The sequence below is a fragment of the Homo sapiens genome, chromosome 7 (assembly GCF_000001405.40).
Source record: "Homo sapiens chromosome 7, GRCh38.p14 Primary Assembly".
In the NCBI taxonomy this organism is placed as follows: Eukaryota; Metazoa; Chordata; class Mammalia; order Primates; family Hominidae; genus Homo; species Homo sapiens.
The window spans coordinates 138,794,523-138,807,635 of record NC_000007.14 but is presented as its reverse complement, the minus strand read 5'-3'; the positions used below and the strand labels follow the sequence as shown (position 1 = coordinate 138,807,635).

At 47.5% G+C, this 13,113-nt stretch overlaps 2 protein-coding genes across 3 annotated transcripts in view, besides 1 other annotated feature; one reads left to right on the top strand and one right to left on the bottom strand.

The window, feature by feature from the left end:
* Positions 1 to 876: 876 nt before the first annotated feature.
* Positions 877 to 9,642, bottom strand: TMEM213 (transmembrane protein 213). Its single transcript, NM_001085429.2, has 3 exons — positions 9,450 to 9,642; positions 6,238 to 6,309; positions 877 to 4,736 (listed from the first exon to the last, which is right to left on the bottom strand). Exons 1-3 carry the CDS (start codon positions 9,529 to 9,531, stop codon positions 4,567 to 4,569), a joined length of 324 nt encoding a protein of 107 aa, NP_001078898.1. The 5' UTR covers positions 9,532 to 9,642; the 3' UTR covers positions 877 to 4,566.
* Positions 9,378 to 9,672: a silencer, noted in NCBI's record as "tiled region #1249; HepG2 Repressive non-DNase unmatched - State 22:ReprW, and K562 Repressive non-DNase unmatched - State 21:Repr". NCBI's record gives its function as "represses a minimal TATA promoter and a strong SV40 promoter by Sharpr-MPRA in HepG2 and K562 cells {active_cell/tissue: HepG2 | K562}" and the evidence as "EXISTENCE:reporter gene assay evidence [ECO:0000049][PMID:27701403]".
* The window catches only part of ATP6V0A4 (ATPase H+ transporting V0 subunit a4), a 91,903-nt gene continuing 88,229 nt past the window's right edge, over positions 9,440 to 13,113 (top strand). For both annotated transcript variants that reach the window (NM_130840.3, NM_020632.3), the window contains exon 1: positions 9,440 to 9,602. The gene's annotated coding sequence lies outside the window, so the exon portion shown is untranslated. The remainder of the gene's footprint in view (positions 9,603 to 13,113) is intronic.

Sequence of the window (13,113 nt, the reverse complement as noted above, 5' to 3'; positions counted from 1 at the left end):
GCAGTGGCTATTCACAGGCACGATCATTGGGCATTACACCCTCAAAGCAATTAATTACTGGGCCCGAGTCATCCTCCCTCCTCAGATTCCACAGCAGCTGGGACTACAGATGTGGACCACCAGGTCCAGCTGATTAATCTTACATGCTGTAACATTTATTTGTTAATAAAAAATTGTATATTTGTTTTGTTTGCATTAGGTGTCATGCATATAAAAAGGAATATATTTGAAATGGAGTTTTGCTCTTGTTGCCTAGGCTGGAGTGCAATGGCTCACCGCAACCTCTGCCTCCCAGGTTCAAGCGATTCTCCTGTCTCAGCCTCCCAAGTAGCTGGAATTACAATCATGTGCCACCATGCCAGCTAATTTTGTGTTTTTAGTAGAGACAGTGTTTCTCCATGTTGGTCAGGCTGGTCTCGAACTCCCGACCTCAGGTGATCCACCCACCTCAGACACCCGAAGTGCTGGGATTACAGGCATTAGCCACTGCACCTGGCCAGGAATAGATTTTTAAATGATGATTTTTATTTAATTTAATTAACTTATTTGTTTGAGACAGAGTGTCGTTCTGTCACCCAGGCTGGAGTGCAGTGGCCCGATCTCGGCTCACTGCAACCTCTGCCTCCCAGGTTCAAGCAATTCTTCTGCCCCAGTCCCCCAAGTAGCTGGGATTACAGGCACCCACCATCACACCCGGCTAATTTTTTGTATTTTTAGTAGAGACAAGGTTTCACTGTGTTGGCCACGCTGGTCTCAAACTCCTGACCTCAGGTGATCTGCCCGCCTTGGCCTCCCAAAGTGCTGGGATTACAGGCGTGAGCCACCATGCCCGGCCACTAAATGATGATTTTTAAAGTCAGATAATTATGCCACACCTTAATATTTAATACTTTATTTCTACATATGACATTTTGATACAGACATGCCCCATATAATATGGACTCTGTGTTACATAAACTGTAGCTGTGTTGAGGACAGTGTCCACTGCTAGAGGCAAAGTTTTAAAATGAAAAGTCCAAAAGTTAGGTAAGTTCTGTTGCTTTAAGTTAGGAAGTTATTAGATCCCTGGAAGTTGATGCCTGCTTTCCCTTTCAGATTTTCTTTTCTTTATTTTTTTCTTTTTGAGGCAAGGTCTCACTCTGTCACCCAGGCTGGAGTGCAGTGGCAAGATCATAGCTCACTGCAGCCTCAACCTCCTGGGCTCAAATGATCTTCCCACCTCAGCCTCCCGAGTAGCTGGGACCACAGGCATGCGCCACCAGTCCCAAATAATTTTTTTGTATTTTTTTGTAGAGGTGGGGTTTCGCCATGTTGCCCAGGCTGGTCTCAAATTCCTGGGCTCAAGCAATCCTCCTGTCTTGGCCTCCCGAAGTGCTGGAATTACAGGAGTGAGCCACCACATCCAGCCCAGATTATCTTTTTTAACTTATTGACAGATAAAGATCTGGTCTGCTGTAATCAAAAAATTTTCTGTTGAGAATAAATCTGAGAGGTAGCATCTGGGAAGTAGAACCATCAAACTATAGAACCATTTTCTTTGCAGTCTCAAGGAAAAGAGTGGTTGTATTGATTCGTTCTCTCCTTCCTCTTGTGCAGATGAAAGAAAAGCAATTGACAAAATGCCTACATTTTAATGTGAGATGGCAGACTGCACATACTTCAGTTCAAAGTAGTCTAAGCATCTACGGGGTTCCCCAGACTGGAGGGCATCTCAGACACCAACTGGTGCCCTGACCCTTCACTTATTAAAGCAGAAAAAAAAAAAAATCCTACCACAAGGTTTAAAGACACAAGAGCCATGCGGCTCAGGTTGAAAGAACAACGGGCCTCATGCCTACCCCGATTCCATGAAGCGACTGAAATGGTTCCATGAACTTTTGCAACTCAGCTTGAAACTGCTGATTTGGTCCAATTCTTCTATTTTCCACGTGTAAAATTGGTGCTCAGTGAGATAAAGTGACTTATTTCTGTTCACATTGGCCAGAAATAAATCTTAATTTCCCTTTTTAAAAAAAGATAGTACTCTCACTGCTACGTCACACACTGTTATATTTTTTAAATGTTTGCAGATGTTAAATCAAAGCATGCACCTTAATGAATCTTTTCATCTCTTGGGAAATAAACCGTCACATATTGTGGAAACGCTTCCTTTGAATTTCTGAAAACATGGAACACATACTCATATTGTATATCCACAAAATGCACCAGGAATTATGCAGACGCTTTTTTTTTTTTTTTTTCCAGACAGGGTCTCACTTTGTTGCCCAGGCTGGAGTGCAGTGGCACAAACATGGCTCACTGCAGCTTTGAACTCTCTAGCTCAAGTGATCCGCCTCCCTCAGCCTCCTGAGTAGCTGGGACTATCAGTGTGCACCACCACGCCTGGCTAATCTTTTTTTTTTTTTTGTAGAGACAGGGTCTCATTATGTTGCTCAGGCTCAGACTCTTTTATGTATGTGATCATTTAACACTTAGGAACAAGAAATCCATCCCGTTGCACTGATTCAACATCTGAGATTCAGAAATTATCTGCTGTTTTGGAAGACTACAAGATGAACCAGGCAATCTCTTCAGTTTCTGTTGTCAGGGAACTTTACTTAGATTTTCTGAAAGAGCCACTGAGCAGTTTTGAGTCATTTGCCTCTTCAAGAGATTGTTCCTATTTCAGAGGTCTTTCATTTTTCCTTTTTGTATTTTGACTAGAGTTTATCTGATCTAAATACATGTTTTCTCACAGAAGGCACAAAATGCTTCATAAGGAGTCATTTTGTCCTTTCTTTCTTCTGATGAACCTGCCCTCTCCTCCTCTGCAAGGTTTCACAGTGATGTGCAACGTCCACTCTCCATGCTAAGTGACAGTGACTGTAATTTGCTGAGAGAGCAGTGACCAAACCATTGGCTCCTTCAGAGGCTGGTTATTTCAACCATCTGGAGAAAAATGGAGGCTCCTAATGCAGAGTGAGGACCTTAAGTTGTCTAGGGCAAAGACTCATTTGTTCATTCATTCATTAATTCACCCATGCACTCATTGGACAAACTTGAATAGGGTACTATGCCCCAGGGGTGTGAGGAAGGATAAACTATGGAGTGGCCCATTCACAACAACTGCACATCAGGGCAGAGCAGAAGTGCTCTAACAGCACCAGCTCCAGGTCACCCAAGGATGACCAGGAAGGCTCCAGGCAGATCAAGCATTCGAGCTGGGCTTGGAGGAATATCCTTGATTCTGGAGGTGGAGTTGGGAAGCAGCCATCCCAGCAAAGAACATGGCAGCAGAGAAGCTGAAGACACCAGGATGAGGAGTGGACCAGTCGGAATCCTTACTCCTGGATGTGCTGGGGGACAGATGGACTCCTCCAAAGAGCTGAATGCTGGGCTGAACAGTTTTAGTCCTTAGGAGCTACTGACTGTTGTCAACAGAAGGTGACAGCGCCTACCCTGGCAGCTGCCCATGGGGAGTGATGAGCCGGGGAGGAAGATCCTCAAGACAGTGAGGACAGAATGCAATATCCCTGGCGTGTTCTAGGGGAAGGCAGTGAAGGCTAAAACTTGGGCACCGGCAGGGAGAATAGGTGGGACAGGAGAGCCGTGGAAGACAGGATGAAGCCAGAAGGAGAGCTGGAGAAGGACCTGAGGTGGGGGTGAAGATGGTGGGAGTGTCAAGGGGATTCTCACATTTTTATTTTTAACTTTAAAAAGTTTTTAAACAGAAACAAGGTCTTGCCATCTTGCCCAGGCTGGTCTCGAATTCCTGGGCTAAAGTGATCCTCCTGTCTCAGTCTCTCAAAGTGCTGGGATTACAGGCATGAGCCACCATGCCCACCTGATCCTCACATTCTTTTTTTTTTTTTTTTTTCTGATACAGAGTCTTGCTCTGCCGCCCAGGCTGGAGTGCAGTGGCATGATCTTGGCTCACTGCAACCTCCGCCTCCGAGGTTCAAGAGATTCTCCTGCCTCGGCCTCCCAAGTAGCTGGGATTACAGGTGTGCACCACCACACCTGGCTAATTTTTGTATTTTTAGTAGAGACAGGGTTTCACCATGTTGGCCAGGCTGATCTGGAACTCCTGACCTTGAGTGATCTGCCCACCTCTGCCTCCCAAAGTGCTGGGATTACAGGCATGAGCCACCATACCTGACTGATTCTCAGATTCTGAAATGACAGTTAAGCCCAGGACTCAAGCCAGGGACAGAAGCAGATAACCTGGTTTTGGTGAGAAGGTTATGCACTTGCTTCTGAAAATGTTGATGATGAGACTAAGTCTTATAGTTTCTTGTGCACCTCCCTTGGTGCCTAGAAGAAAGGTTAAAACAGGATACATTACAGAGGGACTATCTTGAGAGAGGAGTTACCTGGGCACAGCCCAGGGGCCCTTGGGAGTGACATGCAAGGGCAGCACTGGCTTGCCTTATTTGGTTCTCCCGCTCTTTCTTCTTTCCCTTGTAAAAGTAACTGAAGCTTAAAGGTGAAAATGACTTAAATAATAGAAACCATGTTAGCCTTACTCCCCTTCCCCATTAGCCACAAATTGGTGGCGATCACCATTTTGTGCACCGAGCCTGGGTCTCACGCTTGCAAGTCCTTGGGCTCATCTGGAGTCAGCTTCATCAGTTTGTCCACACAGAGCAGGATGAGGGTGAGGAACCAGAGGCTCCAGCCAACAGCTGCCGCGATCCAGCCGTACTCGTCCACTCCTGTGCGGCAGCACCGGGCTGCTTGTGGGCAGAAGTCCACGTCTGGTGGGGAAGGGACAGCAAGGACGACGGCATGCACCACCAGCCCTGCCCAGGCTTCTCTACCATTAATATTAACAGAACAATCACAGCACGGTAGCTGACACTGATGAGGCCTACTACGTGCCATGCACTGTGCTGCGTGCTTTTACACGTTAGCTTATGCCTTCCTCACAAAGCGACAGGTGCGACTTTTATTCCCATTTTACATGAAGAAACTGAGGCTGTAATTTGCCCAAGATCACAAGATGGCAGAAGAACTCAAACGCAAGTCTGCAGGACTCTGAAGCCATACTCTTAACCTCTATGTATTATTCCCTAATACCCCTTCCTTTTTTTTTTTTTTCTTTTTGAGACAGAGTCTCACTCTGTTGCCCAGGCTGGAGTGCAATGGCATGATCTCAGCTCACTGCAACTTCTGCCTTCTGGGTTCAAGCAATTCTCCTGCCTCAGCCTCCCAAGTAGCTGGGATTACAGGCACGCACCACCACACCCAGCTAATGTTTTGTATTTTTAGTAGAGACTGGGTTTTGCCATGTTGGCCAGGCTGGTCTTGAACTCCTGGCCTCAAGTGATCCACCCACCTGGGCCTCCCAAAGTGCTGGTATTACAGGCATGAGCCACCACGCCCAGCCTATCCTTCGTTTTAAGTGCCTAAGTTAATGCATTCGGTCATTCAATGAGGGCAGGATAAAGGGAACCAGACAAAATAAAGTGGAACTTTCTCTTTTTTTTTTGAGAGGGAGTCTCACTGTGTTGCCCAGGCTGGAGTGCAGTGGTGCAATTTCGGCTCACAGCAACCTCTGCCTCCCAGGTTCAAGCAATTCTCCTGTCTCAGCCTCCCTAGTAGCTGGCACTACAGGCGCATGCCACCACATCCAGCTAATTTTTTTCTATTTTTAATAGAGACAGGGTTTCACCATATTGGTCAGGCTGGTCTCAAACTCCTGACCTTAGGTGATCCACCTGCTTCATCTTCCGAAAATGCTGGGATTACAGGCATGAGCCACTGCGCCCAGCTGCAAAACTTTCTATTAGCTAGACATGCATAATAGTGGTTGCTCTATGAATTACTGAGCGCCTTGTGGCTAGAAGTAGGCAAGAAGAGGAAAAACGTGCATAGAAGAAGAAGAAATATGTATGCCAAGGACGCCAAAACCAAGCTGTTGCATTGGGTGGAAGTTGGACTAGATGATTTCTTATGGCCTTTCCACCTCCAAACTTCTTCAAGCATTTGAACCTAGGGCATTGTTAGCTGCTGACCTGGGATGGGTCATTAAAGCAATCTGTGTCAAAGATTGTGCACCTAGATGGGGATCAGAGCCAAGAAAGCCTTTCAGACCTGCTCTGCAAATAGTTCTGGGACAAACCACACTGGTGCACAGGAAGGCCAGGCAGGCCCTTGCCCACTTGACACCAATCAACGGAAAGCGGGGAGGCCTTTGTTTCCCTCCCAGGCTGAGGGCCAGTTCTGGGGTTAGAGCAGTTGGCAGGAGAAGCTTACTGAGGCACTGCTCCAGGGTCCCAGGGTCTGGGTGGTGAGCGGTCAAGCTTGAGCTGTTGCTGCTGCTTGCTTCTGGAAGAAAAGATAGGAGATAGTCTGAGGCACTGGCAAAAGCTATTCCCAGGCATAGATTTTGAAATGTTTTTTGTAAATCAGTAGTGAGTATTATGAAAGTATTATAGAAGCTCCCGCATGGGCATATTGAGGCTTTCTGCAACAAAGCTAACTCCCTGTTATGGACCGAATTATGTTCCCCTCTCCCAAGTTTCATATATTGAAGTCCTAACCCCAATGTGATTGTATTTGGAGATGGGACATTCGAAGAGGCAGTTAAGCTTAAATGAGGTCCTATGGGTGGGCCCTAATCCAATATGGCGGGGTCCTTATAAGATGAGGAAGAGGCCAGGTGCAGTGGTTCACACCTGTAATCCCAGCATTTTGGGAGGCCGAGGTGGGCAGATCACCTGAGGTCAGGAGTTCAAGAACAGCCTGGCCAACATGATGAAACCCTGTCTCTACTAAAAATACAAAAGCAGCCGGGCGTGGTGGTGCATGCCTGTAATCCCAGCTACTTGGGAGGCTGGGGCAGCAGAATTGCTTGAACCCAGGAGGCGGAGGTTCAGTGAGCTGAGATCACACCATTGCACTCCAGCCTGGGTGACGAGTGAAACTCCGTCTAAAAAAAAAAAAAAAAGAAGAAGAAGAAGAAGAAGAAGAAGAAACATCAGCAACACACATGCACAGAGAAAAGTCCACGTGAGAACCCAGTGAGAAGGCGTCTATTTGCAACCCAAGGAGGGAGGCCTCAGGAGAAATCAAACCATCAACACCTTGATCTTGGACTTCCAGCCTCCAGAATGATGGCTGTCAAAAAAAATTAAACATCATAGAAGCAAGCCCAGAGACTGCCAGAATACGCAGCACATAGATTGATTCATGAGCAAGGAGTGGAAAGATAAAAAGGACTTTAGCATGAATTGTTAAAGTCCTGTTGTCTTGAGGTGTGGGATTGGGTTAGGGATCTGAGGCATCCAGGTTCCTGTCCATAACTGACAATAAGAAGAGAGATGACCTCTAAGTCCATACTGTTCAATACGGCAGCCACTAGCCACCTGTGGTTGTTTAAATTTATTAAAATCAAATTCAGTAAAAAAAACTCAGCTTCTTGTTTACATTAGACCCATGCCAAGGGTTCCATTGCCGCGTGTGACTAGTGGCTACCATATTGGAAGCACCACTCAGACATGGGACATTTCCACCCTCAGTGCAAGTTCTATTATTAGACAGTGCTCATGCTGACCTAGGTAGATGGAAACCAAGAGATGGATTGGAAGAACCTTCCTAGAAATTATATTGCTGTTCGTTCTGCTTCTTGGGGAATGCAAAAAGGAAAAAAAAAAAAGTGGTGGGCATGGAAACTCTCAAGGTTCCCCTGGCTGTGGGTCAGTGTGTCCTTCAAGGGAGCTTGTTGTCACAGCAGGACGAGTTCAGAAGAAACCTGCTGTTTAGCTAAAGCCATGAAGTTGCTGCTGAGACTAATTTTATGCCACCCAACCCCCAAGCCACTCCAATGTCCTGCTTAAAGTATAGTAATTGCCTCGATGCAATCTGTTACTGTAAATTATTTACAGCTAAATGGCTTAGAGCCTGGTCTTTATTTGTTTTGGAGAAACTGATTCCTCACTATTCTAATTTTCCTTATGACTCAAATAACTTCCTTGGCCCTGACTTTCATTTCACCTCTACACCTAGAATGGAAGTTGTCCTCTTCCAAAGTGAGTGGAAAAAAACCCTAGTTGGCTGAATGCTAGGGTTAGGTTCGAGCTTATGAAATTGCCATTGTTATAGGTGAAAATTGTTCAATATCAGCAATTTTCTGTGGTTCAAATGGAATAGCCCCGGTGAAAATTCCTAAGAATTTAAACATCGCCCTCCTCCCTTATAAGCAGAGCCAGAAGCGAGGGAGGGACTGGCCCTACTTGGGGCTATTCCACAAGAAAAGCTGCTGGGAAGACCCAACGATTCAGTGCAGTTAAACTTGTCTTCTGATTCTGAGCTCCCATCATAAGCAAGGCACTGTCGGGGTAAGTAGAAAGAAACTCAGCACTCTTATTTGGGGAGGGGTGAAGTTGGAAAATAAAATGAATGTGCTTACCATAATTGCTGACATTCACTGTGTGTGTTCTATGGGCTATTTCTAAGTTCTTTACATGAAATTACATCAATTCGTCTTGACAAGCACTATGATTGTCCCCATGAGATAAAGGAGGAAACTTGGCATAGAGAGGTAAAGTCATTTGCTCGAGGTCGCATAGCTAGTGAGTCATGGAAGCTGGACCTGGGTTCAGGCTCAGCGGCTCAAGAGTGCACGTCTTGAACCTCAACACCAACACCCCTGGCAGTGGCTACAGAAGAGAGTCTGAGGATGAGAGGGGCAGACACAGGACTTTGGGGGCAGGGTTGGTTTTGGGAGCAGGAGTGTTGCAGGGCATAGAGAGTGTGGTGGTGTTCTGAGGTGGCTGAGAACAAGATCAAAGCCAGGAGCAGAAGATGGTAACCAAGGTCCCTCTGCCGTGAGTTGCAGAACCCGGCCTGGCAGGGCAAGGCAGGGGATGTAGATCAGCCTTCCAGCCTCCACAGGAAAATGGGGAGATAACCCAGCATTTCCAGTGCCCGGGGAGGCAGGAGGGTGGGAGACAGTGAATGGCAGCCCTCCTGGCAGTCAGGTTTTGTGAAAGTCGCAGAGAAAGTACAAGGGGCAGGGAGGGATGGAGGACTTAGGAAAGGGAAGGTCAGACACAAATGTGCACAGGGAGGATTGCAAAGCACGACAGCCCAGTGGGGCTGAGAAGGAGCCTTCAGGACACAGCGGACCAAGAGATATCATTTTGGTCCCCTGATGGGTGAGACTCCAGCAAATAACTTTTTCCTTTCTTTGTGGCAAAGGCCAAGAGAGGTGGCTGCTCCTGCCTTAGCTGAGGAATTGAGTATCTGATCTCCGTCTCAGGCCAACCTAAGACCCCCCCTGCCCCAGCCCCACCTCCCACCCCCTGCCTAATCCTTCAGATGAGAAAGTTCTGTTTCCTCCTTCCTTTGCGCAGGACCAACCCTGGCCAAAGAATCTTCCCCCTCCTCCTTCTTTCCCTCCCACCTCTCTTCCCTCCTTCCCTCCCCCTTCCCAGCCTGGCCATGAATAAAGCTCATAACGCTACCTGCCGAGCAAGCCGAGTGGAGGGAGGCAAAGGCCAGGCTGAGGATCAGGGTGGCCCGGGTGGCAGCGGGGAGGCGCTGCATGCTGGAGGCTGTGCTGAGTGCCCGGTGCAGGTGAGCCGGTCCTGCGGAGTTGTGCCGAGTGCCTGCTGCAGGTGAGTCGACTCCCACCTGCAGGAGCTGGAAAGCAACTCTGCCAGAGGTGAACTTATGCTGGGTGTTTGGGGGAAACACCATGGGGTGGAGCAAAGGAAACTTGGCCTGTCACACCTTCTCTCACCTCTCTAGAAGGGAAGCCAAACCGTTGGCTGAGGAAGGAAGGGAGGGGCAAGCTGTGCCCTTCTCCCCTGAGCGCAAATATTGTCCTTATTGAGAAACAAGGGGAGGACAAGAGAGATCTGTGTCATGCTGGTTCCTGGGACATGAGTTTGCTGCCTCTCCCATCTGCAGGTGTAGCATGGATGCTCAATTCCATTTGGGCCAATATTCACTGAGCACCCACTATGCTGAAGTTGGGAGATACCTGCTGTCGAAGTGCGTTAATTACAAACACGCATCATTCAACCCCAGAACCGTGTTTGAGGAATGGCTTGGGAGGATAAAGCACTGTGGGTTTCAACAGTGGAGGCCACATCTGCTGATGGGATGCTTCAAGAAGAAAATGGCATTTGAGGTTGGGCATGGGGGCTCACCCTGTAGTCCCAGCACTCTGGGAGGCTGAGGCAGGTGGATCACTTGAAGTCAGGAGTTCAAGACCAGCCTGGCCAAAATGGTGAAACCCCATCTCTAATAAAAATACAAAAATTAGCCAGGTGTGGTGGTGCATGCCTGTAGTCCCAGCCACTTGGGAAGCTGAGGCAGGAAAATCGCTTGAACCCGGAAGACAGAGGTTGCAGTAAGCTGAGATGCTCCTGACCCTGCATTCCAGCTTGGCCGACAGAGGGAGACTCCATCTCCAAAAAAAAAAAAAAAAAAAAAAAGAAAATGGCATTTGGCCTGGGCCTTGAAGGATGGCTAGAATTTTGACAGGGGGAGAGGGGAAGATGGCATTATAGGTAGAGGGACAGATGAGCAAAGGTCCAGAGGTAAGGAAGTGTCAGAGGGTGGCTGTACCAGCAGCACCCAGAAGCGCAGGTGAGCCAAGGCATGTGAGGTGGGGAGGCAAGAGGAGAGCTGTGGGCTAAGCTTCTGCGTGCCTGGTAGAGGAATTTGAAACAAAGTCAGGAAGCAAAGGGGAAGGTTCTGTAGAGATTTTGAGCTGAGGAGTAACTTGACTAGAGCTCTGCATTCCGTCTAAAACATTTATTGAAGACCCACATGTATATAAAAGGTCTCATCCTAGGCACTGGAGACTGAGATGACTGAGACACGCCTCTTCCCCTTGAGAGCACAGTGCAGCAGGGAACCAAACCCGGAAGAAAGAAATTTGATGCAACCTGGCAAGACTCAAATAGGGGTACCTTCCACTGTGATGGGAATAAAAAGGAGGATGGGATGAACTCTGCCTGAGAGGTATAGGGGAAGGATTCACAGAGAAAGTGACATTTGGGCTGGGTGCTGAAGTTTGTATGTGCAGATTAGAGTTGATGGGCTTTTCAAGTCAAAGGAATAGCACCTATAAAGGCGAGGGAATCGTCTGTGTGCACACAGCCTGCCATGTGTGGAAGTGTTCCTGCGCATGAATGGGCCTGGTAAGGGTGAGGGGTGGACTCCAGCTCTGTGGAAAGACATAGAAGGCGTGAGTAAGCCCCAAGGAAAGATTTCCTAGTGGAGTGTAACAGCCCAGGGGAGGCACTTTTTTCTAATTGGCTCTAAGATATAAAATAGTGGTGGCCTATGTTCCTGGATTTGGGGATAGGGCCAACGTGCCCTAGGAAGGGTGATTTTCAGTCAGTGCACAGAAGTCCAGTTTAGGCATTACCACTAGTTGAACATTAAACAGTTGCATGCCAGGCCAGGCTCTCGGTGTGGGGACCTGGGGGTGAGAAAGACCACACAGCCCTTGTGCTCAAGGAACTCAAGGTCCCCACAGAGAGGACGCTGCTTAGTAGAACAAATGCTGTCCTCGATGTTTTCCTCACAAGTAAACCCTGCAGTGGGCTTCACAGGGCAGGACTGATTTATCCAATGGGTACTAGGGATAACAGCGGTACGTGGAATCCCCAAGATTTCCAAGGATCTCAAAAATGTTTGAGACCTGAGAAAATATTCTCAGATCCAAAATTTGAAGAACAGACCAGGCATATTGGCACACGCCTGTCATCCCAACACTTTGGGAGGCCGAGGTGGGAAGATCACTTGAGCCAGGGAGTTCAAGACCAGCCTGCACAACATAGTAAGACCCTGCCTCCGCAAAACAAACAAAAAAAAACACAAAAAAATTACTTGGGTATGGTAGTGTGCACCTGTAGTCTCAGCTACTCAGGAGGCTGAGGTGGGAGGATCACTTGAGCCCAGGAGGTTGAGGCTGCAGTGAGCTGAGATGGCACCACTGCACTCCAGCCTGGGTGACACAGTGAGACCCTGTCCCCAAACAAACAAACAAAAATTTGAACAATCAAAAACTGGGCAAAATAAATGATTGTTTCAAAAGCAAAGTTATACAGTTCACTTGAAATGTTTAAACGGAAACGATTTAATGTGGGACGCTGGGTGCATTTTAATGTGTTTGACGTGAGCAGAGCCTGTCCCTCCTATGGAATCGGAACCTGAGGTATGCAAACATGTAAGATGGCCTGCCTGGGGTTATTGTAGTGGTGGATTGAACAGCATCTGCAGCCTAAGCTGAGACCATCCTATCAAGTCGTATCAGGGAAAGCTTTTCTGGCAAGCAGTGGATGTGGAGGAGGGGGATAATGTGTTGGCCCTCCCTCCCTATTTTATCATTGTTATGTGATGTCGGACTGTTTTAGATGAGCTGTTTGTAGGACAAACATTCTCCTATCTACAGATGGAAGAACTTTGTTATTCGAAAATAGTATAGGCTGGGCCAGGCACGGTGGCTCAGGCCTGTAATCCCAGCACTTTGGGAAACTGAGGCAGGTGGCTCATTTGAGGTCAGGAGTTCGAGACCAGCCTGGCTAACATGGTGAAATCCCATCTCTACTAAAAAAATTCAGAAATATTAGCCAGGCGTGGTGGTGCATGCCTGTAATCCCGGCTACTTGGGAGGCTGAGGCAGGAGAATCACTTGAACTGGGGAGGTGGAGGTTATAGTGAACCGTGATTGTGCCACTGCACTCCAGCCTGGGCAACAGAGTGAGACTCTGTCTCAAAAAAAAAAAAAAAAAATAGGGTGGGCTGGACTGGCCAATGATAACTATTAACCCCAAAGAAAGGGCTGTGTGTGTGTGGCCACTTTTTACTTTACGAGTGTCACCAGTATTTGCTGTTTGTAGCAGGTCTACAACTAACAACTCCATGTGGCCCATTTCCTCACTCATACATTTTGCATCAGGTTTACTTTGGAGCGCATATCAGGAAGTTGCCTTACTCAAAGCTAGACTTTCTCAAGACTTTTTTTTTTTTTAAATGGGTGAGATAGGTATTTGGTTACACACACTATTTTAAAAGTTCAGGCTGAAATGTCTGTGGCTAGGCACCATGGTGGTGGTTGGAGAGAGGAGTAGCCAAGAGAGTGGGATTCCAGGGCTCTTACTGCTTCCA

Coding starts and splice junctions, on each gene's coding strand:
- TMEM213 (NM_001085429.2), bottom strand. CDS start 9,531: ATGCAGCGCCTCCCCGCTGCCACCCGGGCCACCCTGATCCTCAGCCTG. Junction 6,310..9,449: donor CCACTCGGCTTGCTCGGCAG/GTAGCGTTATGA, acceptor CTTTTCTTCCAG/AAGCAAGCAGCAGCAACAGC. Junction 4,737..6,237: donor GACCCTGGAGCAGTGCCTCA/GTAAGCTTCTCC, acceptor CTTCCCCACCAG/ACGTGGACTTCTGCCCACAA.